The sequence below is a fragment of the Homo sapiens genome, chromosome 1 (assembly GCF_000001405.40).
Source record: "Homo sapiens chromosome 1, GRCh38.p14 Primary Assembly".
NCBI classification, from domain to species: domain Eukaryota; kingdom Metazoa; phylum Chordata; class Mammalia; order Primates; family Hominidae; genus Homo; species Homo sapiens.
The window spans coordinates 1,049,509-1,070,649 of record NC_000001.11 but is presented as its reverse complement, the minus strand read 5'-3'; the positions used below and the strand labels follow the sequence as shown (position 1 = coordinate 1,070,649).

General features: G+C 64.3%; 1 protein-coding gene and 2 long non-coding RNA genes across 11 annotated transcripts in view, besides 17 other annotated features; 1 reads left to right on the top strand and 2 right to left on the bottom strand.

The window, feature by feature from the left end:
• Positions 587-1,352: an enhancer, noted in NCBI's record as "H3K27ac-H3K4me1 hESC enhancer chr1:1004678-1005443 (GRCh37/hg19 assembly coordinates)". NCBI's record gives its function as "activates a minimal SCP1, AML or CMV promoter by ChIP-STARR-seq in naive H9 embryonic stem cells {active_cell/tissue: H9 hESC(naive)}" and the evidence as "EXISTENCE:reporter gene assay evidence [ECO:0000049][PMID:30033119]".
• Positions 587-1,438: a biological region, named in NCBI's record as "H3K27ac-H3K4me1 hESC enhancer GRCh37_chr1:1004678-1005443".
• Positions 997-1,396: a silencer, noted in NCBI's record as "silent region_29". NCBI's record gives its function as "represses an Ori minimal core promoter by ATAC-STARR-seq in GM12878 lymphoblastoid cells {active_cell/tissue: GM12878}" and the evidence as "EXISTENCE:reporter gene assay evidence [ECO:0000049][PMID:35858748]".
• Positions 1,313-5,015, top strand: LOC105378948 (uncharacterized). Of its 2 annotated transcripts, NR_168433.1 has the most exons (5): positions 1,313-2,089; positions 2,610-2,852; positions 3,852-3,904; positions 4,052-4,184; positions 4,817-5,015. It is a non-coding gene; the product is annotated as an uncharacterized LOC105378948 (long non-coding RNA). The 2 variants fall into 2 exon arrangements; NR_168432.1 differs by lacking the exons at positions 2,610-2,852; positions 3,852-3,904; positions 4,052-4,184.
• Positions 1,324-1,438: an enhancer, noted in NCBI's record as "conserved acetylation island sequence 30". NCBI's record gives its function as "activates a minimal heat-shock promoter by reporter assays in Jurkat T cells {active_cell/tissue: Jurkat}" and the evidence as "EXISTENCE:reporter gene assay evidence [ECO:0000049][PMID:17135569]".
• Positions 1,517-1,586: a silencer, noted in NCBI's record as "silent region_28". NCBI's record gives its function as "represses an Ori minimal core promoter by ATAC-STARR-seq in GM12878 lymphoblastoid cells {active_cell/tissue: GM12878}" and the evidence as "EXISTENCE:reporter gene assay evidence [ECO:0000049][PMID:35858748]".
• Positions 1,747-1,936: a silencer, noted in NCBI's record as "silent region_27". NCBI's record gives its function as "represses an Ori minimal core promoter by ATAC-STARR-seq in GM12878 lymphoblastoid cells {active_cell/tissue: GM12878}" and the evidence as "EXISTENCE:reporter gene assay evidence [ECO:0000049][PMID:35858748]".
• Positions 4,197-10,916, bottom strand: LOC100288175 (uncharacterized). Its single transcript, NR_148960.1, has 4 exons — positions 10,804-10,916; positions 10,257-10,370; positions 7,449-7,571; positions 4,197-4,820 (listed from the first exon to the last, which is right to left on the bottom strand). It is a non-coding gene; the product is annotated as an uncharacterized LOC100288175 (long non-coding RNA).
• Positions 4,673-5,173: an enhancer, noted in NCBI's record as "H3K4me1 hESC enhancer chr1:1000857-1001357 (GRCh37/hg19 assembly coordinates)". NCBI's record gives its function as "activates a minimal SCP1, AML or CMV promoter by ChIP-STARR-seq in naive H9 embryonic stem cells {active_cell/tissue: H9 hESC(naive)}" and the evidence as "EXISTENCE:reporter gene assay evidence [ECO:0000049][PMID:30033119]".
• Positions 5,174-5,674: an enhancer, noted in NCBI's record as "H3K4me1 hESC enhancer chr1:1000356-1000856 (GRCh37/hg19 assembly coordinates)". NCBI's record gives its function as "activates a minimal SCP1, AML or CMV promoter by ChIP-STARR-seq in naive H9 embryonic stem cells {active_cell/tissue: H9 hESC(naive)}" and the evidence as "EXISTENCE:reporter gene assay evidence [ECO:0000049][PMID:30033119]".
• Positions 6,151-6,510: an enhancer, noted in NCBI's record as "active region_11". NCBI's record gives its function as "activates an Ori minimal core promoter by ATAC-STARR-seq in GM12878 lymphoblastoid cells {active_cell/tissue: GM12878}" and the evidence as "EXISTENCE:reporter gene assay evidence [ECO:0000049][PMID:35858748]".
• Positions 6,601-6,770: a silencer, noted in NCBI's record as "silent region_26". NCBI's record gives its function as "represses an Ori minimal core promoter by ATAC-STARR-seq in GM12878 lymphoblastoid cells {active_cell/tissue: GM12878}" and the evidence as "EXISTENCE:reporter gene assay evidence [ECO:0000049][PMID:35858748]".
• Positions 8,250-8,750: an enhancer, noted in NCBI's record as "H3K4me1 hESC enhancer chr1:997280-997780 (GRCh37/hg19 assembly coordinates)". NCBI's record gives its function as "activates a minimal SCP1, AML or CMV promoter by ChIP-STARR-seq in naive H9 embryonic stem cells {active_cell/tissue: H9 hESC(naive)}" and the evidence as "EXISTENCE:reporter gene assay evidence [ECO:0000049][PMID:30033119]".
• Positions 9,393-10,236: an enhancer, noted in NCBI's record as "H3K4me1 hESC enhancer chr1:995794-996637 (GRCh37/hg19 assembly coordinates)". NCBI's record gives its function as "activates a minimal SCP1, AML or CMV promoter by ChIP-STARR-seq in naive H9 embryonic stem cells {active_cell/tissue: H9 hESC(naive)}" and the evidence as "EXISTENCE:reporter gene assay evidence [ECO:0000049][PMID:30033119]".
• Positions 10,699-11,338: a silencer, noted in NCBI's record as "silent region_25". NCBI's record gives its function as "represses an Ori minimal core promoter by ATAC-STARR-seq in GM12878 lymphoblastoid cells {active_cell/tissue: GM12878}" and the evidence as "EXISTENCE:reporter gene assay evidence [ECO:0000049][PMID:35858748]".
• Positions 10,699-11,925: a biological region, named in NCBI's record as "H3K27ac-H3K4me1 hESC enhancer GRCh37_chr1:994105-994948".
• Positions 11,082-11,925: an enhancer, noted in NCBI's record as "H3K27ac-H3K4me1 hESC enhancer chr1:994105-994948 (GRCh37/hg19 assembly coordinates)". NCBI's record gives its function as "activates a minimal SCP1, AML or CMV promoter by ChIP-STARR-seq in primed H9 embryonic stem cells {active_cell/tissue: H9 hESC(primed)}" and the evidence as "EXISTENCE:reporter gene assay evidence [ECO:0000049][PMID:30033119]".
• Positions 14,534-21,141, bottom strand: part of AGRN (agrin) — a 35,997-nt gene continuing 29,389 nt past the window's right edge. For 4 of the 8 annotated variants that reach the window (XM_005244749.4, NM_001364727.2, XM_047419838.1 and 1 more), the window contains 12 exons: positions 20,855-21,084; positions 20,613-20,747; positions 20,321-20,417; positions 20,059-20,223; positions 19,813-19,924; positions 19,607-19,618; positions 19,281-19,397; positions 19,005-19,197; positions 18,835-18,922; positions 16,673-16,897; positions 16,099-16,202; positions 14,534-15,826 (listed from right to left, as the gene is read on the bottom strand). In XM_005244749.4, the coding sequence (XP_005244806.1) occupies positions 15,669-15,826; positions 16,099-16,202; positions 16,673-16,897; positions 18,835-18,922; positions 19,005-19,197; positions 19,281-19,397; positions 19,607-19,618; positions 19,813-19,924; positions 20,059-20,223; positions 20,321-20,417; positions 20,613-20,747; positions 20,855-21,084 (1,636 nt within the window). In that variant the 3' untranslated portion in view covers positions 14,534-15,668. Of the gene's footprint in view, positions 15,827-16,098; positions 16,203-16,672; positions 16,898-17,156; positions 17,190-18,633; positions 18,658-18,834; positions 18,923-19,004; positions 19,198-19,280; positions 19,398-19,606; positions 19,619-19,812; positions 19,925-20,058; positions 20,224-20,320; positions 20,418-20,612; positions 20,748-20,854; positions 21,085-21,141 lie in introns of all 8 variants that reach the window. The other 4 variants (NM_001305275.2, XM_011541429.3, NM_198576.4 and 1 more) reach the window with 4 other exon arrangements.
• Positions 16,033-16,215: a silencer, noted in NCBI's record as "fragment chr1:989815-989997 (GRCh37/hg19 assembly coordinates)". NCBI's record gives its function as "represses an EF-1alpha promoter that drives an FKBP-Casp9 reporter gene in an ReSE screen in K562 erythroleukemia cells {active_cell/tissue: K562}" and the evidence as "EXISTENCE:reporter gene assay evidence [ECO:0000049][PMID:32094911]".
• Positions 19,860-19,959: a silencer, noted in NCBI's record as "silent region_24". NCBI's record gives its function as "represses an Ori minimal core promoter by ATAC-STARR-seq in GM12878 lymphoblastoid cells {active_cell/tissue: GM12878}" and the evidence as "EXISTENCE:reporter gene assay evidence [ECO:0000049][PMID:35858748]".

Genomic DNA, 21,141 nt, shown 5'->3' with positions numbered 1-21,141 from the left:
TGCCGTGGCCATACTAGGCCACACCTCCAGGAAGTCACGCCCCATGGCCCTGCTAGGGTCCCTGACTGGAGAACCACAGAACCATGACCCCTGTGGGAACCCAGAAGCAAAGGTAACAGCCAGCGTGCAGCCTGCAGATCCACTGACTCTCCGGCAACTCCCAGGGCCAGCCTGGCTGGGGAAGAGTCAGAGGTCAGCTACGTGAGGTATCGGCAGGAGGCTCGCCAACCCCAGCCCTACCCCGTCTGTCATCAGCCCCAGGAATCCTGCACCACCAGGCAGGCACGGCCAGGAGGGCCCAGGCCAGGTCCAGCTCACGCAGGCCTCCTCAGCCTTCCCATCCCTGACCCCAGAGCCCAGGTACTTCCTGCTCCAACCAGCTGGGCCTCTGGTCCAGGGTGGGGAGGGCTCGGGAAGGCCCCACAGAAGCTGACTCCAGCTGTGGGGGCCACACCCACCCTTGCCCCAGGTCCCAGCGAAGACACAGAAGGGAGAACACAGCACTTTACCGGAAGGCTGTGAAAGCCGGTGATGTGGGGAGTGCAGCCACGGGTCACAGCAACATCACTCTGTGTCACACACACAGTCATGCCCACGCAGGCCCACACCCTTGTCATCGGCAGGGCCAGGCGCGTGACGCTGCACGGGTGGTCACATGAATATGTCACACACACCTCACTCCACAGACATCCACCCTGTGCCTGATGGGGCCGGGTCCTCACCGGGGCCACATCCCAGACCACGGGAGCAGGCAGGGCCGGCAGGCCGGAGCTGCGGTGAGGGCAGACCCGCACGGAGTGGCCGAGCTGGGGGCGCACGCGGGTTCACACGTGGTCACCGGTGGGCTTCGCAGCCTGTCGCTCCCTCTGCCGCCCCTGGACCTCCCTGAGCTGGGGACAAGCTTGTGGCTCTGTCCTGGACACAGTCCCGGCCCGCAGCTCCGGCCACACGCGGGCGCGGCTAGGCCGGGGGTTCCCTGCGGCTCCTCAGACACCCGCGGCTCCGCAGGTTCGCGTCCTCGCCGTCCCAGGGCTGCGGGGTTCTGCGCGCGGAGCAGCGGCTCAGCCCTGCACCCCGCACGTCCCAGTCCCTCCCAGAGGACTCCGGACCGGCCCCGGCGCTCCACTCACACCGGGGATGCCCGGGGAGCCGGGGGCTGCAACCCGATTAGCGGGGGGCGGCGCCCACGTTTTGGTTCTCGCGCTCCTGAGGCGGCTCGCGCTGGGGGGAGGGGCCGCCGGTCACCATGGCGACGCCCGCACAGGCCACGCCCCGCAGGGCCACGCCCCCACCTGCTCGCGCAGGCGCAGTTACTCGCCCCGGATGTGCCGCTGCAGCGCCAGGTACGTGAACTTGTACGGAGCCTCCGTCTGCACCATTCCCCAGTGCTGCCGCCAAACCAGCTGGATCGTCTTCGGGACGTCGGTGTCGCAGTCCAGCCCTGCGGACAAGCGCGCTTGGGGAGGGGCTACGGATGGGGGGAAGGTGCCGGCAGGCAGGGGCGGGGCTGCTGATGAGGGGCGGGGCTTGCCGGTAGCGGTGGGGTCGTCCTGAGGGGTGGGGTCGTCCTGAGGGGTGGGGTCGTCCGGAGGGGTGGGGTCGCCCGGAGGGGTGGGGCTATAGCAGGGCAGGGCGGGGGGACCCAGAGTGGAGCGGCTCGCCCTGCCTGCGGATGACGTCCACCAGGATGTCAATCACGATGATGGTGCCCGTGCATCCGATGCCCCCACTGAGGACAAACTAGGCGGCCTTTGACGAGAGTGGGGGGCGGGGGCGGGGGCGCCCCCGCCCACCCGATGGCTCCGCCCTCGTCGTCCCGCGTGGCCCCGCCCCGCCGCACCTGCACCTGCACAGCCCGCGTGGCCCCGCCCCGCCGCACCTGCATCTGCACAGCCCGCGTGGGCCCGCCCCGCCGCAGCTGAAGTGCACCACCATGGGCCCGGCCCGCGGCTTGCTGCTCTGGGCCCGGTTCACCTCGTCCCGGAAGCCGAGGACGCCGGCGGGATCGGCCCGGACGCCGTAGTCCGGCCAGCCGAAGTACTGGAAGTGCTGCACCGTACGCTGTGGCTCCTCCTGAGCGGGGCAAGCGGTGAGTGTGACCCCAGGGTGGGAGGAGGAGGCTGAGGCACAGCTGGGTTTCCGGGAGTGCCCAAGCGGAGGGGCTGCGGGAGCCAAGGCGAGCAGGAGGAGGAGGAAGGAAATGGGGAGGGGGCGCCGAGATGGCCCCAGGTGGCTCAGGTGCCTGGGGAAGGGAAGAGGGAGCTGGGGGCGGGCGAAGCAGGCTGTGAGGACAGTTATTTTATAAGGAAAAACCAAATGTGAGGGGTCCATGGGGTCCTGGAGGACCCCCCCACACACACTGGGCGGGGGCTGGAGGGAACACGAGGTAATCTGCCCGGAGCAGAAATGGGCGTCTCTGGTATACAACGGAGACCAAAGCTGCAGTTGGAGAGGTGTGTGGGAGGAGCGGCCGCCAGCCCAGGGCTGAGAATGTGGCCACGTCAGTGACCCCTGTCCAGGCTTGGAATGCACCTCCTGGGTTGAGGGGTGTGGAAGCCCCCAAAGGCAGTGGGGTTGGATGCAGGCAGGTGTGGGGTCTCCCAGTGCAGGCCGACAGCAGGCACGCTCCACAGCCGCCAGGCTCACCTGGCCCGGCCGCCACACCTGCAGCTCCCGCACGCAGTAGCCCTGGGCCTGGCCCTTGCCGAGGACGCGCATGTGCACACGGCCGAACTCTTGGCTGCCGGGCAGCTCTGGCCAGTCCCGGAAACACTTGTTCCGAGGGGAGCGCTTTGCATCAGCCTTGCTGGCAGCACCTCGGCACCCCGCCCCTGCGACCTGCAGAGACGCAGGTGTGTACGTGCAGCCACGGGGCTCTGTGGGAGCCTCCCCACTCCCACGGCGTCCCACAGCCTCCTTGGCCTGGTCGGGAAGGGCCTTGGGCAGCCGAAGATGCACGGGGTGGGATGGGCACTGGGAGCACTGGCACCGCACCCCTACCCGGCCCCGCTCCATCTCCCTGGTGGTCATGACGATGACACGCGTGTTCTCCTGGTGCACCGTGGCCCAGAAAGCAGCCACCGTGGCCTGCAGACAGGCCTGCAGACAGCCCTGCAGGCGATGTACACCCTGCGCCCGCGAGGCCCTGCCCCGCGGGGAGGAGCCACAGCGTACGGTGCAGCACTTCCAGTACTTCGGCTGGCCGGACTACGGCGTCCGGACCGATCCCGCCGGCGTCCTCGGCTTCCGGGACGAGGTGAACCGGGCCCAGAGCCGCGAGCCGCGAGCCGCGGGCCGGGCCCATGGTGGTGCACTTCAGCTGCGGCGGGGCGGGCCCACGCGGGCTGTGCAGGTGCAGGTGCGGCGGGGCAGGGCCACAAGGGATGTCCACCCTGCCCCTGCCATGGCCCGGCTCCTCCTCAGGGTCAGTCTGAAAGGGAATGAGGCCAACTGCTGCTGTTAACAGAGGACAAACAAGTCCATGCAAATGCTATGCAAATGATATGCAAACGACACACAAATATTATGCAAAGAGCCCTGGTGGCTTAAACACACTCCTCACTCCAGGCCAGCAAGGGGCTGAGGACCAATGCCCGTCCAGCCTCTCTGAGGACCCCTTGGAGACTGCCGCCCACCCCTCCCTTGGGGACCCTGGTTCTTCCTGAGCCCCCCAGGAGCAATGGGCCCAGGCCCCGCCTCCCGCACACACCCACCCTGATGTAGTCGGCTCCGGGCCCGCTGTCATCCTCGTTGAGCAGGATGACTCAAGGGTAGCATCAACTGGGAAGGGAGGTGCCGCTCAGTTCTCCAGGGCACAGCTCGTGGGCCTCACCCTGCCTCTTTGCCCGCAGACCCTGTGGTGAGCAGAGATGGAGGGTCCAGGGTATGCAAGGGGGAGCCTCAGGTCAGCGGTGGCAGATGCTCGGCCTGCCCCCCACCTCCCCCAGGCCCGACGGGTGACGCCCTGGCCTCCGCCCTCACAGGGAAGGATGTTCTTGTAGTGATTCTTGGGCTTGTTCTCCACACTCTGCCCCTCCTTCCGAGGGTACAGGAACCGGCATTCCTGCTGCTGCAGCATCTGGAGGTGATGGAGCCTTCAGCTCACAGCCCCGGCCCCTTCCCAGAGCCCGAGATGGCCACCCCCAGCCCGTCCCGTGTGGGCGGAAGAGTACCTAGGTGCCGAGGCAAGAGACTGAAGGCACAAACTGTTTCAGTATAATAAAGAAAATAGAATAAGAATAGTCATAATACAAATTAGATACAGCGATGATCATGAACAATTATCCATCATTATTATAAACATTATTAATCATTAGCTTTTAATATTACTCTGTTGCATTAATAATATAACCTAGGAATAACCGGCAGGTATAGGGTCAGGTGCTGAAGGGACATTGTGAGAAGTGAATAGAAGGCAAGAGGGGAGCCTTCTGTCATGCCCGCATAAGGGCCGCTTGAGGGCCCCTTGGTCAAGCGGTAACGCCAGTGTCTGGGAAGGCACCCGTTACTGAGCAGACCGGGAAAGGGAGTCTCCTTTCCTTGGAGGAGTCAGGGAACGCTCTGCTCCACCAGCTTCTTGTGGGAGGCTGGATGTTACCCAGGCCTGCCTGCAGTCATCCGGAGGCCTGAACCCCTCCCTGTGGTGCTTCAATGGTCACGTTCCTTGTCCACTTTCATGCTCCTTCCGTACTCCTGGTTCCTCTTTGAAGTTCGTAGTAGATAGCGGTAGAAGAAATAGTGAAAGTCTTAAAGTCTTTGATCTTATAAGTTCATAGAAGAAAACGCTGATGCCTGCCGCCTTCTCTCTCTGCTTCAGCTACCTAAGAGGGAAGGGCCCGCTGTCCTGTGATCACGTGACTTGCTTCACCTTGTCAATCACTTAGAAGACTGACCCTCCTTATCCTGCCCCCTTGTCTTGTATGCAATAAATATCAGCGAGCCCAGCCGTTCAGGGCCACTACCGGTCTCCGTGTCTTTGTGGTAGTGGTCCCCGGGGCCCAGCTGTTTTCTCTTTATCTCTTTGTCTTGTGTCTTTATTTATTACAATCTCTCATCTCCACACACGGGGAGAACACCTGCTAAGCTCCGTAGGGCTGGACCCTACAGTCCCAGACCCTGCGCTCCCATCGGGCACTTGCCCCAGCCCCAGGGGACAGAGTCTGAAGGTGACAGCGGTCAGGATGCACCTTGAACTCCACCCAGAAGCCCTGCCTGGCCTTCCCGCTGGCATCAGTGGCCCTGCTACTCCTGCACACAGCCCTCCAGGCTCCGAGCACTGATCCTCGTGGCCTTGAGGGGCTGCCAGGGAGAGACCTGCATCTAAGCTTAGGGCCCCCCAGACCCCACCACACCCCCCCAGGGCCCCGCAGACCCCACCACACCCCCCGAGGGCACCGCAGACCCCACCACACCCCCCCAGGGCCCCGCAGACCCCACCACAACACCCCCAGGGCCCCGCAGACCCCACCCCCCCCAGGGCCCCGCAGACCCCACCACACCCCCCCAGGGCCCCGCAGACCCCACCACACCCCCCCAGGGCCCCGCAGACCACACCACACCCCCCCAGGGCCCCGCAGACCCCACCACACCCCCCCAGGGCCCCGCAGACCACACCACACCCCCCCAGGGCCCCGCAGACCCCACCACACCCCCCCAGGGCCCCGCAGACCCCACCACACCCCCCCAGGGCCCCGCAGACCCCACCACACCCCCCCAGGGCCCCGCAGACCACACCACACCCCCCCAGGGCCCCGCAGACCCCACCACACCCCCCCAGGGCCCCGCAGACCACACCACACCCCTCCCACCGAGGGCAGCTGCCCCGGGCCCCGCACCCCCGCACCTGGCCACCCTGCCCCGGGCCCCGCACCCTCGTCGGGTCATGGAGGTCGCCATGTGCCAGGAGGACACACGGAGGGGCTGGTAGGTTTTCCTTCCCGTGGCCATTCAGGCGCCTGGGGTCTCCCTGGCAGGGGGTCTTCCCTGAGCCCAGTGGACCCCCAGCTGCTTTCCTGGGTGAGGCTGTGCCCACGGCCCTGGTGCCTGTGGAGGGGCTTTTACCTGCTTGAGGTGCACAACCGCCCCCACCTTCCCCATCAATGGGCTCTTCCTGCTACACCGGGTCTCCGAGGGTGTCAAAACGCTCCCCGTCTCCCACTTCTCATCCGGCCGTGGGGGTGGCGGTGAGGGGCCTGGCCAAGGCCGCCCGCCCTTCCCAGAGGCCGCCCCAGCTCGCCGCCCCCTCCCACCTGGGAGTGAGTCATGATGTGCGTGACCTGTGGCTGGCGGCCTGAGCCCTGCGCCTCGTCCCACCCTTGCGTCAGCGCTGACAGCGGGAAGCCCCCAGGATCGCTCTGACTCATGTGCACCAGGAAGCTGCCCGGATGCCCCTTCTGCAGCAGCAGCTTCTCAGCCTCCTTGCCAGACAGGCGCCCGTGGTACCACCTGGGCCAGGCACAGGCGAGCACAGGTGAGGCTGGAGGCCACGGCCTGGCCAGGTGAGGGGGAGAGACCCACACGGATAGGGCAGAAGGCTTAGCGAGACATACGCAGACCTTGGGGGTCCAGGCAGCACCACCACCCGGGCCCCAGAGCTGCTCTGCTCGCCTTTCTGGCCCTCGCCCCACCCAGGAGCCGGCAGGAGGCAGGCGGGCGCTGCAGGGGCGGGCGGCCACCAGGTGGCGGCCTGGTCCTCAGCAAGGAGGGGCCAGGGGCCTCCCCAGACCAGGTCTCCTTCTCTGCAGATGCAGCCCGCTGCAGTGGGGAAACTGAGGCTGGAGGAACCAGCTCAGCCCAGGGTACCAGCCAGGAGGGCAGGGATGGGGCCAGGGGAGGCACCGGCTTCCCTGAGTCACCCTGGACTCCAGTGCCTGAGACCTGAAGGAAGGAGGCCTGAGGGAGGCAGGTGCAGGACCCTGTGCCCTGAACCAGTGCTTAGCAGACGCCGTCCCTCAGGATGCAGGCACACGCACACACACACACACACACATGCACACGCACACACATGAACACACATGGACACGCGAACACACACATGCACACGTACACACGTGTGCTGACACGCGGATGCTGGGCCAGGGCTCACCACTCCAACGCGGGGTCCTGGCAGCCCAGCGGGTACCAGAGCTCAATGGGAACCCCGCTGCACTCCCCAGCTGCACCCCCAGGCTCTGGCAACACGGTCGCAGCCACGGAGGCCCTGCCTGTCCCCAGGGCCCTCACAGGGGAGGAAAGGGTCCTGCTGAGCCCCTGACTCAATGAGCCCTCCCCAAGGGCCTCTCTAAATAGTTCCTTCCTGCCCAGAGACCGCCCAGCACCACGTCCAACTCTCACCACCTTCCCAGGGCATCGGCCCCCCGCACCAAGTCCTCGTGTCCAGGAAGCTGCCCACCGGTCCTCCAGGAGGCCTTCAACCAGACCCTGTCCATGCCCAGCCAGGGCCCACCCACCTGACGGACAGCGTGAAGCCCCCCGGGCTGCTCTCACTGGGCCTGGCAAGGAAGTCCCCACGCTGACCTCTGGATAGGAACAGCTTCTCCGCCTCCACCCTGCTGATGTTGGGGTGAAACCACCTGGAGTGGGGAGAGCAGGTCAGTGCCCAGAGGAGGAATCTGGCCCCACACAAACCTCCCTCATTGTTTCCACGGTAACACCCACGATGGTGGCTTGAGGCCACTGTGCTCGAAGCCGGGAATGGCCACTGGCCAGGGGCTGTGGGGTCCCAGGGACACAGAGGGGCTGGAATTCTCCCCCAAGTGGCAGGGCCTGGGGCCACTGGGGCTCCCTCCTTCTCCACACGCCCCCGAGGCTGTCAGCAGCCCCGTCCACTCCACCCCTCCCAGCCTCCACGGCCAGGATCTCGGACTTCCAGCCTCCAGAGCTGAGGGAAGGAGCGCCTGCCCGCCCAGCTTATGGTCACTGTTTCAGCAGCCCAGCTGCCTGACGACGGGTTCTTATCTCCCAGAGGGCAGAAGCTGTTCCCCGCACTGTGGCGTCCCAGGTCCATAACACTGGAATTGAGACACTCAGTAGAGGGATGGGGGTCGGGGGGAGGAGGGGGTGGTGCACAGGGAGGGGCCGAGAGGCCAGCGGGTGCCTGTGCGGCCCCTGGGAGCCGTGCTCCGTGTCCGGGGCAGGTCAGGAAGCTCGGGGGATGTCACTGCAAACCTCGCGGCCCCATGCAGGCAGAGGCTGGTGCTGCCGGCATCTGGAGGGGAGGCTGAGGCTGCAGCCCTGCCCCTTCCTGGTGAACAGCCCCCCCGTCCCAGGACCTTCCTAGTCTGCAGCCCCCCATGAGGTCAGGGCTGCCCCGGAGCCCACGTCCGAGATCACAACTGCTCCTTACTTTTGTGGCACTGGACTCCGGAGCTCAGGACTACATTGTACTCAGGCGGCAGCCCCAGAGCCCAGAATGTCAGCAAAAAAGAGCCACACCCGTGAGTGACTGAGGGAGGGAGGGAGGGAGGGAGGGAAGGGGTGTGAGAGGGAGGGAAGGAAGAGGGGAGGGAAGGGGATGTGGGAGGGAGGGAATGGTGGTGAGGGAGGGAGGGAAGGAAGGGGGAGAGGGACGGAGGGAACGGGGACAAGGGAGGGAGGGAGGGAGGCGGCAGAGGAAGGAACTGAGGACGTGGGGCTCCCCCAGCCCTCTGTCTTCCCCAGCTGTGCTGTCCACACAGGGGCGGCTTCTGGACACCTGGCTCTTGGGCATCTCCTGGCTGCATAGATGATACCCAGGTGGGGCCTGCTGGCTCTAGGACCTCCGCCCCACGCTGGCCCGGCCTGGTTGTCAGTGGAATCATAACCTGTGCACGAATGGGTGGGGGTTGCTGTGCCCTGGGCAGACCTTGCTCCGGCCCCCATGGCTGGTCCAGAGGAGGAGGAAGGTTGAGGGCGGTCCTGCCCCCTCTGCCCCACAAAGGGCAGCTGCAGGGCTCTTTCTAGAATGGAGGCCTCACCGCAGTCTCTGTTAAAGGCCTCCATGACCAGGCTCATGCCTATAATCCCAATTACTCAGGAGGCGGGTGGATTGCTTGAGCCCAGGAGTTCAAGACCAGCCTGGGCAACATAGCCAGACCTCATCTCACTTAAGAAGAAATAAAAAATAAAGGCCTCCACAGGCTTTCACCCCTGAGAATGGAGCCAAGATCTCCCCTCCTCTGCAGCACCCACAGGTCCTGGCTGGTCCCCCTGGGGACCCCATCCCCGGCTCCAGCCCACCCTGGCCAGGTCCCTCTCCCGGGGCCCCAGCTCCTCCTCCTCCTTCGGGCCCTGCCTCCACTCCTTGCAGCTCCTGCCCCTCTGCTCCCCTCTGAGCACAACTTCTGGAAGAAGTTTGTATGGCTGTGTGATTTGTAAATAGGAATGAATTAAAATTCATGGCCGGGTGCGATGGCTCATGCCTGAAATCCCAGCACTTTGGGAGGCTGAGGCAGGCGCATCACCTGAGGTCAGGAGTTTGAGACCAGCCTGACCAACATGGTGAAACCCCGTCTCTACTAAAAATACAAAATTATCCGGGTGTGGTCATGGGCACCTGTAATCCCAGCTACACGGGAGGCTGAGGCAGGAGAATCGCTTGAACCCGGGAGGCGGAGGTTGCGGTGAGCCGAGATCTCGCCACTGCACTCCAGCCTGGGCAACAAGAGAAAAACTCAGTATCAAAAATAAAAATAAATAAATTAATTAACAATAATAAAATTCAGCAACAGCCACGGTGCCACTGCTCAGGAACACCGCGGTGCCGGTCGGCACGGCCCGTCCTCTCCCTCATCTCCAGAGCCGTGTCCCGCCCTCCAAGCCCACGGAGGACTTGGCTGTCAGGGTTGCCACGGACGTCGGGGCCCAGCCGGTCCTCAGCAGCCTCCGAGGCCGTCAGTGCCGCCTTCTTCCAGTGGCGCCTTCTCTGCGAGGCTCTGTGGAGGCTGCACTTCCCGGCTTCCCACCTTGCCCTGGCCAGGGCCCTTTGTCCTCCTCCTCGATGGGAGCCCCAGGCCCTGGCTCTTCTGTGTCTGCACAGAGTCTAGGCCAGTCCAGCGCCACCTCTTCTCTGAGCTCCAGACACCCGGTTTCAGCACCTCCGTTTGCAAAGTCAGCAGCACGTCTTTCCTAACATCTTCAAAACCCAAAGCTCCTGATCTTGCCCCCGCGGCCCACACCCTCTTCTTCATCTTCCCCACACAGGCAAGGGTGGCCGCCCTGCCCCCGGCCCCCCTCGGCGCTCCCTGCCGGCTCCGATCCATGAGTTCCTCTCATCCTACCTTCAAAAGGTGCCCAGAGGCCACACGCGGTGGCTCACACCTGTAATCCCAGCAGCGTGGATCACGAAGTTAGAAGTTGAAGACCATCCTGGCCAACATGGTGAAACTCCGTCTCTACTAAAAATACAAAAATTAGCCAGGCATGGTGGCATACACCTGTAATCCCAGCTACTCCGGAGGCTGAGGCAGGAGAATTGCATAAACCCGGGAGGTGGAGGTTGCAGTGAGCCAAGACCGCGCCAGTGCACTCCAGCCTGGGTGACACAGTGAGACGCCATCTCAAAAACAAAAAACAAAAAACAACAAAGGTGTCCAGAGCCGACCACTTCTCCTCCAACCGCCTGGGCCTGCCAGGACTGTTGGTTCCGTTCTGCCCGACTCTGACCCCACAGCCAAGCCTGAGTGAGGCCAGGCCTGGCGGGCCAGGGACCAAAGTGTCCTGGCAGGGCCTGCGGGTGGAGGGGGGCAGGCGTCCAGGACCCCGGGTCTGAGGCGTGACCCAGCTGGGAGCGCGAGGAGGGCCCGGGTGGCATTTCGCCACGCCCACCTGTCGGGGCCGTAGACGCTTCTCCTGGGGTCCAGGATTCTGGGCCGCCGTGCGCCGGGCTCACCTGCACGAGGGTCTCACCGCGCCGCTCGCCGGCGCTCGGGGTGCGCTCTGGGCGGCCGCACCCTCCGGCAACTCCGCGAAGGCGCTGCCTGGGCTCCGCCCCCGAAGCCTCGCCCCGATGCCACGCCCCGGGCCACGCCCCGAGGCCACGCCCCCCGGCCTTCTTAAAGGGTCCGCGCCCGCCACTCTTGCCGGGCGCCTGGGAGTTTGGGCTGCAGGCGGAAGCTCCGGCCGTCCCCGCTTCAGAGCCGGGGGTCCCGCGGGCAGCCGGGTCGCGGGTCGCGGGCGTTGCAGGCGGCTCCGTCCCGCCCTCCATTCCAAGACCCTCTGGCTTTTCCGGGGCCGCCTCCACTGCGGACCGGGGCCGGAGGGGGGCGCTCCAGGCTGGGGGGCGGGGCGGGGCCCGCGGGACCGACCTCCCTGGCTGTGCCGCGTCCGCCTCCCTGTAGGTCCCAGCCCCAGGCCCGCCGGTTTCCGGAGTCGAGCTCCCACCGCGGTCTGTCCCGGACACGCGCGCCTCTCCCTCGCCTGCGCTCAGCTGCCATCCTTTTCAGCGGTGGCCCCGGGCTCCCCTGGGCTTCGCCTCTCAGACCCACAGCCTCCAACCTGGGACCCACCAGCGCCTCTCCGCCCGCGCGGCTTCCCTCCTCCTCACCCCCGGCCACGGAAGGCCTCGTCACCCTCCAGGTCCCCTTTGAGTCCTCTGGGTCCTGCGCGCTCCGCAGCGGTTGCTCCCCAAACTGCCTCTCCTGGTTCTGCGCACCCTCCTCCTCCCCTCCGAGGTCCTCCTCCCTCCTCCATTTCTGGCGTCGGGGCTTTTTCTCCTCTCCTAGGCAACACCCAGCAGGAGCACCTGCCTCAGGCTTCAGCCCAGCCTCTCCCTGCCTGGCACCCCTCGGCCCCCTGGACCCCACTCAGGGAACCCCAGCTTCCCCAGCCCAGCCATCCCTCCAGACGCATCAGGGCGAATCCACCCAAAGCTCCGGTGCCTCCAGCTCCATCTCCACGTCCCTGAGCGCCTCTTCTCACCCCCCTCGACCCGCCCATTCTCCCCCAAATCCCTCCCTCTGCTCCCCCTGCAGCCTAGCACCCTGTCCTAGCCAGGGGCGTCTTCATGAAATCTGGTGGCCTCCTGCTTGGAGCCCTCCAGGAGCCTCCCACAGCTCCTCAGGCAGCACCCCCAGCTCTCTTCCCCAGGCCCACGCAGCCCCACTGGACCTGCCCTGCCCATCTCTGTCCAGCCTCTGCTGCTCTGACCTGTGGCCTCTGTCCTGCACGCTGGCCTCTGGCCGCTCCTACGCCTCCGCTTCCTGCTGAAAGATCCCTTTGTCAAGCCACAGGGCCCTGCACACCGTCCAATGGACCCACACCACATGCCCCGCCTCTGGCCTCCTCACCTGCCCTCCCCCTGCTCATGCTTCGGGTCTGGGTTTGGGCGTGTTTTCTCTGGACCTTTCCTGAAAACCAAAGTTAGTCTGCCCCCACCCTGGCCCCCCACCGTCAGCGACCTGTGTGTGGCCACCGCTCCTGGACTCTCTCCTCCCCGACCCCCAGTGCCTGACACCTGCCAGGCACACAGGGTCGGTCAGCATATCCCCAGAGGACCAGGTGATGAAAAGCCCAGAAAGCAAACACTCAGACGCATGGGACCTCCTGGGTGTGGAGCTTGTGGGTATTATCTTTTCATTTTTTTTTTGAAACGGAGTCGCGCTCTGTCGCCCACGCTGGAGTGCAGTGGTGCAATCGCGGCTCACTGCAACCTCCGCCTCCCGGGTTCAAGCGATTCTCGTGCCTCAGCCTCCCGAGTAACTGGGATTACAGATACCTGCCACCACGCCCAGATGTTTGTGTTTTTAGTAGATACAGGGTTTCACCATGTTGGCCAGTCTGGTGTTGAACTCCTGACCTCAGGTGATCCGCCTGCCTCAGCCTCCCAAAGTGCTGGGATTATAGGCATGAGCCAATGTGCCCAGCCATTGGTGTTATTTTATTTCGATGTTTTTGTGGTTTTCTTTTTTCTTTTTTTTTTTGAGACGGAGTCTCCTTCAGCCACTGAGGCTGGAGTGCAATGGCGTGATCTCGGCTCACTGCAACCACCGTCTCCTGGGTTCAAGCAATTCTCCCGTCTCAGCCTCCGGAGTAGCTGGGACTACAGGCACCCACCATCATGCCCAGCCAGTTTTTGTATTTTAGGAGAGACAGGGTTTCACCATGTTGGCCAGGCTCGTCTTGAACTCCTGACCTCAGGTGATCCACCCGCCTCGGCCTCCCAAAGTGCTAGGATTACAGGTGTGAGCCAGCGCACCTGGCTTTTTTTTTAAAATCATTAATACAAAATAGAAAACTACACTTAGTTATTTTTCATAAGAGACAGCAGTTTGCGAAGGGCCACCCAGCTGGCCACACACCCTACCCCTTCTTCCCCTGCTTCTCCCCAGGGCTCACATCTGCCGGTGCTGGGTGCCAGCTCTGTTTTTTAGACAGGTTCTCGCTCTGTCACCCAGGCTGGAGTGCAGTGGTGCAATCACAGCTTGCTGCTGCCTCAACCTCCTGGATTCAAGTGATCCTCCTGCCTCAGCCTCCGGAGTAGCTGGAGCTACAGGTGTGTACCACCACGCCTGGCTAATTAAAGAAATTTTTTTGCAGAGATGGGGTCTCACTATGTTGCCCAAGCTGATCTCCCACTCTTGGCCTCAAGCGATCCTCCAGCCTCAGCCTCCCAAAGTGCTGGGATGACAGGTGTGAGCCACCGCGCCCTTCCCTGAGGCTCAGCTTCTGCAGTGCTGTCACCCACACACTAATTTAGGAAGCAGGTTAGAGGGAGTCCAGGAGCCCAGCTACCCCAGGGGTTTCTAGTTAGGGGCTTCCAGCAGTGCCAAGGGTTGGTTCTGCACACCTGGGCCAGTGAAAAGGCTGCCCAACAGCCCCACGCACCCTGGCTCCCCCCAGACCCTTCCAGTCCTGGGTGCAGCCTCCTCCCAACCCTGTGCTCTGACACAGATGTGGGCCAATTATGTGTGCAGGCACACACACACACACACACACGTGCACGCCAGAGAGCAGGCACACACACCCACACATACACGCCGGAGAGCAGGCACACGCACCCACACACGTACATGCACCCACACATGCACGCCGGAGAGCAAGCACACGCACCCACACGCACACGCACCCACACATACACGCCGGAGAGCAGGCACACGCACCCACACACACGTACATGCACCCATACATGCACGCCGGAGAGCAGGCACACGCACCCACACCCACACGTACCCACACGTGCACGCCAGAGAGCAGGCACACGCACCCACACGCACATGCACCCACACGTACCCGCACCCACACGTACCCGCACCCACACGTGCACGCCAGAGAGCAGGCACATGCACCCACACGTACCCGCACCCACACACACACACCCCCACACGTACACGCACCCACACGTGCACGCCAGAGAGCCTCCTGCCTCCACGGCCCCGCCTCCCACAGTGCTCAGCAGTGTGTGCTCCCCACTCAGGGCCTCATCAGCCACAAGGATCCCTGTGCAGGGCCTGGCTCCATCCAGGGCCACCCAAGGGAGCTCCAAGTCCGTGCTCCCACCACAAAGCGGAGCAAGAAGCCAACGGGCCAGCGCGCTGGTGAGGATGGACAAAAGCAATGCTTTTAAAGTTTTCAGACTTTATTTCACAGCGATTGACACAGAAACATACTAGAGTTAGTAACACGGCACCCAGCCCCACCGCCGCCCGCTTCATCGGGTCCTGCTCCTAGGAGGACTGGGCTGGGGCTGGGGGTGGGGATGGGATGGGGGTGGGGAAGGGACGGGACGTTGCAGTTTAAGGCATTTCTGGCTTCGGAGCCATCCCTGCCACCTCTGCACCTGCCCCTTGACCTTGGTCAGACACTGGCTGGCCCCTGGTCATTCTGAGACAAGGACGACTTTCACTGACGCTGTGGGGAGGATTTGCAGTGAGGCAGCCCTCAGCCGCTCTCAGGCGAGATGGGAAAGATGAGACCCACCACTCCAGGGGTCAAATAAAATCAACACATGAAGAACACAGCCATGGCCAGGCCCAGATACCCAGGCAGGCGGCAGAGGTCAACCCCATCCCACAGTGAGCTCCTCTCGATAGCCCCTCGCAGGGCCTGGGGTGTGGCAGAGGGATACGGTCACGTCCAGGGTGGCTGGGCAGGGCCAGCTGAGGGTCAGGACACCCAGATCGGCCCTGGTCTGGCCTCTGCTCCTCAGCAGCCTGGGGCTGGCGCAGGCAGCACGGGAGCAACGCAGAGCTGTGCCCAGCAGTAACATTGTTTGGAAGTCACAGTATTGGCGCAGGAGGCCGAGGCAGGGCCCAGAGCACACACAGGAAGGAGCAGCTCAAATGGGGGCTTGGAAAGGCCCTGTGGGGTCACCCGGAGGAAGGGCCCCATCAGACCTCAGCAGCCCCTTCCTCTCTGGGACACGAGTCCCGCCTGACGGAGCGAGGGTGATTCAGGAGCCGGGGCTGCTTCCCGGCGGGGACACCGTGGGGCAGGCGCAGTGCAAGGCGGGGGCTCAGCACCTTGAGGCAGGGGTGTGTGTCCTGAGGCTGCCATCCACGCCGAGCCCTCCACGCTGCCACCTCGCCTGTCCATCCCTCGGCACTAGGTCTGTCTGCAGCACGGCTGCCTGGACGGAAGGGAGGCCGGGCCAGCAGTCCCTCCGGCCAACACTCAGGCAAGAAAATCATATCAAAAAGCAACAAGTTTACAAAAATAGAAAATAATTACAGCGGGCGCGGGGCTCTGGTGCCAGCTCATGGGGTGGGGCAGGGCCGCAGCTCTGGCTTGGTGACGGCGTCCTCCAGCAGGTGCAGCGGGTGCCGGCCCACCACCACGTCCCGCAAGCAGCCCACAAAGCCTGTGCCGTAGGCCTTGGGCAGTGCTGGGCCCACGGGCAGCTCCGGCAGGCCCCCTGCAGCACAGACAGTGGGAGTCACCCGGCTGTGACTCAGTGATGCTGATGGGCACCCCAACGAGCAGGTGACCAGCAGGGGGCCCACACCTGGGCACCCGCCTCCCGGCCCCACAGCACTGGGAACTGCAGGGGCTACAGCGGGAGAAGAGAGCCCAGCCCGCCGGCTCACATGCACCCTGACTCAAGGGTGGGCGCTGGGGGGTGGAGTCTGTCCCTCGGATATCATGAGACCCTTGGGCATCCCTCTCTAGTCTCCCCAAAACACTCACCAAGCCACAGGGCTCCATCAGTGTCCAGCTGCGTGGCGCCCAGCGGGGAGGAGCCGGTCACAGGGGCCTCATTGCCCACCTGCAGGGAACCTTCCCTCTGCTCCCTGGGTGTGCAGGGAGGGGGAGACCATCAGGGCCCAGAGTTCCCTCTGCCTCCTCTAGACCATAAGCCCTGCATCCTTCCTATGCCCTGCAGGTGCCTCAGCCTGGAGAACCCCCGAGGTATCACCCCTGGGGGCAAGGATGAGGTGGCCTTGACCCCAAGGAGGGCACTGGGAGCCAAGGCCGGGGACATTCCTGCAGCTCAAGCTTTGCTGGAGGCGACGGCCAGGCTCAGACTGGAGCGACCCCCGGCAGGCTCCGGGCAGGGCCGGGATGCCTTTCAGACGTGGAAACTGATCATTGCTTCTCCTGCATCTTCTTGGCCCTTCCTCCTCCCACTGGCAGTGACCTCGGCTCAGGCAGCAAGGCGTGTCCTCCCTGACCCCTGGTCACAAGTGACTGGACACAGCCCAGCTGGGCAAGTCTGGGCAGCCCTCGCCACTATTCTCGGCACGCTGGGTTCCCTACTCACCTATGTGCCACGACCCGCAACCAGCGGTTGGTGTTGACGGGCACGGTGGAACGCAGCACCACGGGCTGGGAGCCCAGGTTGTAGCTCAGTTGCAGGTGCCCGTCCACAATGGCCAGTGCCACATAGTCTGCCCGCTCCGTGGCCTTGCCACTCCAGAGCACCAGCCCCTGCGTGGCCTCAGTGCGCAGGCTCAGTTCAAAGTGGTTGCTCTGCAGTGCCTTCTCGCTGGAGGGCAGAGGGCAGGTCAGGGCCTCTAGGAAGGTGGCAACAGGACAGGGTGGGGGAGGCGGGAGGACAAGGGCCCCAGCTGCGGAGGCCACAAGGGCTGTGACGGGACCCAGGGGTGGCTGGTGGGCAGACACCGACAGTGGGAGGGAGAAGAGGGATGGAGACAGGGGCAGCCTGGCAGAGAGAGATCAGAGAGACGGGCGGGAGGACAGATGGGCCAGCCAGGGGTCTGCAGGCACTGCTGCCACGTGCTCACCTGTGAAGGGCCCCGGAATCCAGAGTTTCGGGGCTTAGAAGCAGGAAGAGAGGGAGGCGGGTGAGCAGGGGACAGGCGGGGCCAATGCAAACCCATCTCAACACTGTGGGGTGCAAGGAGCAGGCACCCACAGAAGACATGCGTGACCTCGAGGATCACTGGCCGCCCACCAAAGAGCCCAGCAGGGACACCTACACATGCTTGTGCGGACACGAGACACGTGAGGGTGCAGACACCCACGTGCAGACACGAGACACTTGAGGGCACAGACACCCACATGCAGACACCCACGTGCAGACACCCACGTGCAGACAGCAGGGGAGCACAGCCAAGGCTGGGCGCAGAGATCAAGGAGGTAGGCGTAGGGTGGTATGGAGTGGAGACCAGGGGCTTGGATGCCCCAGTACACACATGCATGTGTGCATGCACGCAAACCTACACACGGACACACACACCCCTCCATGTTCACACACATACACACGTGTACACGAACACACACAGACACACCTGAGTGCTCCCCACTTACACCTGTTCATACACACACACATCTACATATCCCCCCATATATACACGCATATACACGGACCCATGCACACACTCGGACACACACCTGTCTCCCCCACATATACACACACATACATGGACCCATGGACACACACTCGGACACACACCTGCGTGTCTCCCTCATATACACACACATACATGGACCCATGTGCACACACTATACACACATGGACCCATGCACACACACTCGGACACACACCTGCGTGTCTCCCTCATATACACACACATACATGGACCCATGTGTACACACTATACACACATGGACCCATGCACACACACGGACACACACATGCATGTCTCCCTCACCTATACACACACATACATGGACCCATGTGCGCACACACTCAGACACACACCTGCGTGTCTCCCTCATATACACACACATACATGGACCCATATGCACACACACACACACGGACACATACCTGCATGTCTCCCTCATATACACACACATACATGGAGCCATGCACACACACGGCCGCATAGTCACACACGCATATCTACATGTCCCCCCCACATATACACACACACATATACATGGACCCATGCACACACACAGCTGGATATTCACACACACTTGCACATCCACTCCATATACATAGACACGCACAGACACAGCTGCATGTTCACACACGCGGAAGTGCACACGGACACAGACATGCATGCATATGCGCACAGGTGTGTACAGCCTCAGTGGTGGGGGTTGGCTGTGGGGCGACCCTCGGCCTGTGCCCTGGGAGGGGCGACTGCACTTCTGAGGCAGGAAACGGCCTCTTGCAGCCAAATAGCGCCGGACCCCCATCCTCCGCCACAAGGGATGGAAAGTTCCCCGGGGGCTCCGGACTCTGCTCCCCACCAGGAAGGATGGAGGAGTGGGAGTGAGAGGGAGCGGGGGGCGCCGAGCTCTACTCACACGGGGATCTCATTGGCCAGTTCGCTTGGAAACAAAGAGACAGACAGTGAGAGGCGGGAGGACCGGGAGGTGAGAGAGAGGCGGGAGGACAGAGGTGGCAGCACCGGGCCGTCCCCTCCTGGGCCCTCCTGGTGTGGGGGTCCGGTGTCCCGCCCCGAGGGCACAGATGGAACCGACAGCCAGCAGAGGATGGCACGTTACCTCTCGGTCACAGCGTTGAGGTACTCGACAAAGGTCCGCCCGTCAAAGGCCAAGGTATCCACGTCCCCCGCTGACTTCTCCACCAGCCCTGTGAGATAGGCAGGTGAGGGTGGGGCCTCGTGGGCTCCGGGCCCATCCGGCCTCCGCCCCCTGCCCTGTGCCAGGCTCACCCTTCTCGCAGTGCGGTCCTGAGAATCCCCCGGGACACAGGCACACATAGGCAGCCTCCCTCGGGACGCAGGAGGCCCCATTGAGGCAGGGGTGGCCTGAGGCCCGGGTGCAGGGGTGACCTGCAAAGGACGTGACGTCCACCTGCCGCAGCACGTGCTCCGGGGTCAGCAGCTGGCGGCCTCCGAGGGAGACCTGCAGGGCAGGGTGAGGGCCTTGTCCCGCCTGCCACCCCGCCCGCCCCGGAGGCCCTGCTGGGACGCCCCGCCCCCACATACCAGCTGGATGGCACCGTCGAAGCCAGAGGACACGGCAGCAGCACGGGCCAGCTTGCTGAAGTCGGGAGCGCCCCCTACGTAGAGCGGCTCCTTCAGGTTGAGGACGGTGTGCGGAACCTGCGGGGACGCCAGGTAAGTGGCTGTGCAGAGCCCACCCACGGTGCAGACCCAGGGCCCAGGCACCTGCACGCACCCGCCCCACCCGCCCATTGCCTATCTAGGGGGCAGCGTTAATCACACAGAAATGGCAGGGTCCTTAGTGGGGGAGGAGCTACCCTAGGGGTTGAGGCGCCAGAGACGGTGAGCGGATGAGAGGCCGACAGTACCTTGCGGGATTTCTGGCCTCCGAAGAGCGGGTGGGGTTGCAGAGCGAGAGCAGAGAGCAGGGAGGCAGAGGAGGCAGAGGACAGGGCAGGCGGCCAAGAGAACAGGACAGAAAAACAGCTCCGTGAGCGCCGGCAGGGGCGGGGCTGCCGCCCGAGGAGGAAGAGCAGGCAGCAGCGGGAGTCCCCTCGCGGCCCAGAGCACTCACCGGGGACTCCCCCAACACACGGGGGCCGTCGCCCACACGCAGGGCACCCTTGCGGCCGTTTCGCTCCAGTGAGACCCTGGTCCAGGCTCCCAGGGTGACTGGCTCCCTGCTCCTGGTGAGGAGGGGCAGCGTGAGTGGGCTCTGTCCACCACCGGCCACGCGACCACCCAGGGCCTGAGCGACCTGCTGGTGCCCCGGCCCCGGGCCAGTGCCCCAGGCCTCCCAGAGCCACCCTTGCCGGCCCACCTGATGACCGCTGCCCCCTTGCCCAGGTCGTAGCGGAACTCCAGGCGGCGGTCCCGCAGTGCCAGCGACACGAAGTCCCCCTTGCCGTCCGTCTTCTGCCCGTTGTAGAGCAGGAGGCCGCTGGGGCCTCGTGCCAGGAACACGACCTCCAGCGCCATCTTCTCCCTGGGGTCATGGGGAGTCGGGGTGTCTTTGCTGTCCCCTCCCCACAGGAGAGACGGAGGTGGGGGCCGGCCCTTCCCCCTGCTCCTGCCCCACCGACCCCAGGTCCCGTGCAAAGGTGTGCAGGCCTCTCAGCTCCAGGTGGGAGAAGCCGTTGAAGTCAGCCAGGAAGGGCCCAGAGCCGTCCTGCCCCGAGGCTGTAGGGAGAGTCACCAAGGCCTCAGTCCTGACCCCCGGGGCCTCCTGCACCCCATGCCAGCCGTGTGTGGATCCTAACTCAAAACCCAGACTAGACTGAGCCGCATCCTAACTGCAATGCTACCTGGAACCTGTACCCGCCCAAACGTTCAACCCCCCCCCCCCCCCTGCCCCGAGAGCCCCACGCCCCCGACCTGTCTGGCAGAAGGTGCCCTCACGCCCCAGGGGGCACTCGCACTGAGCACCACCCTCGGGCAGCACACGGCAGGGCGCCGCCCCATGGCAGGGGTTGGGCTGGCAGGGGCTCTTCTCATCGGCACAGGTTGGTCCTGGATGGAGGAAGACGGGACCGGGACCGAGGTCCCAGGAGGCGTCGGTTGGGTACCGCCCACAGGCCCCGGGGTCCCACTCCCACCCGCCCCGGCCCCACCCTCACCGACGCGGCCGGGCGGGCACTGGCAATGGAACCTTCCAGCCTCCAGGTTCTGGCATGGGGCCCCGCCATGGCAGGGGTTGGGCAGGCAGGGGTGGTCCCCGCACTCGCCCACGCCAGAGCCTCGGGTGGCAGCCCCCGGCCCAATGCCAAGCTCCAGGCGCTGGTTGTTGACGTCCAGCAAACGGATGCACCCCCTCAGGCCGGCGCCCACGAAGGTCCGCTCCAGCGCCCTGCCACCAGGAGGGACACCGGGTCAGGGCTCAGGGGCCACAGGCAAAGCCACCTCG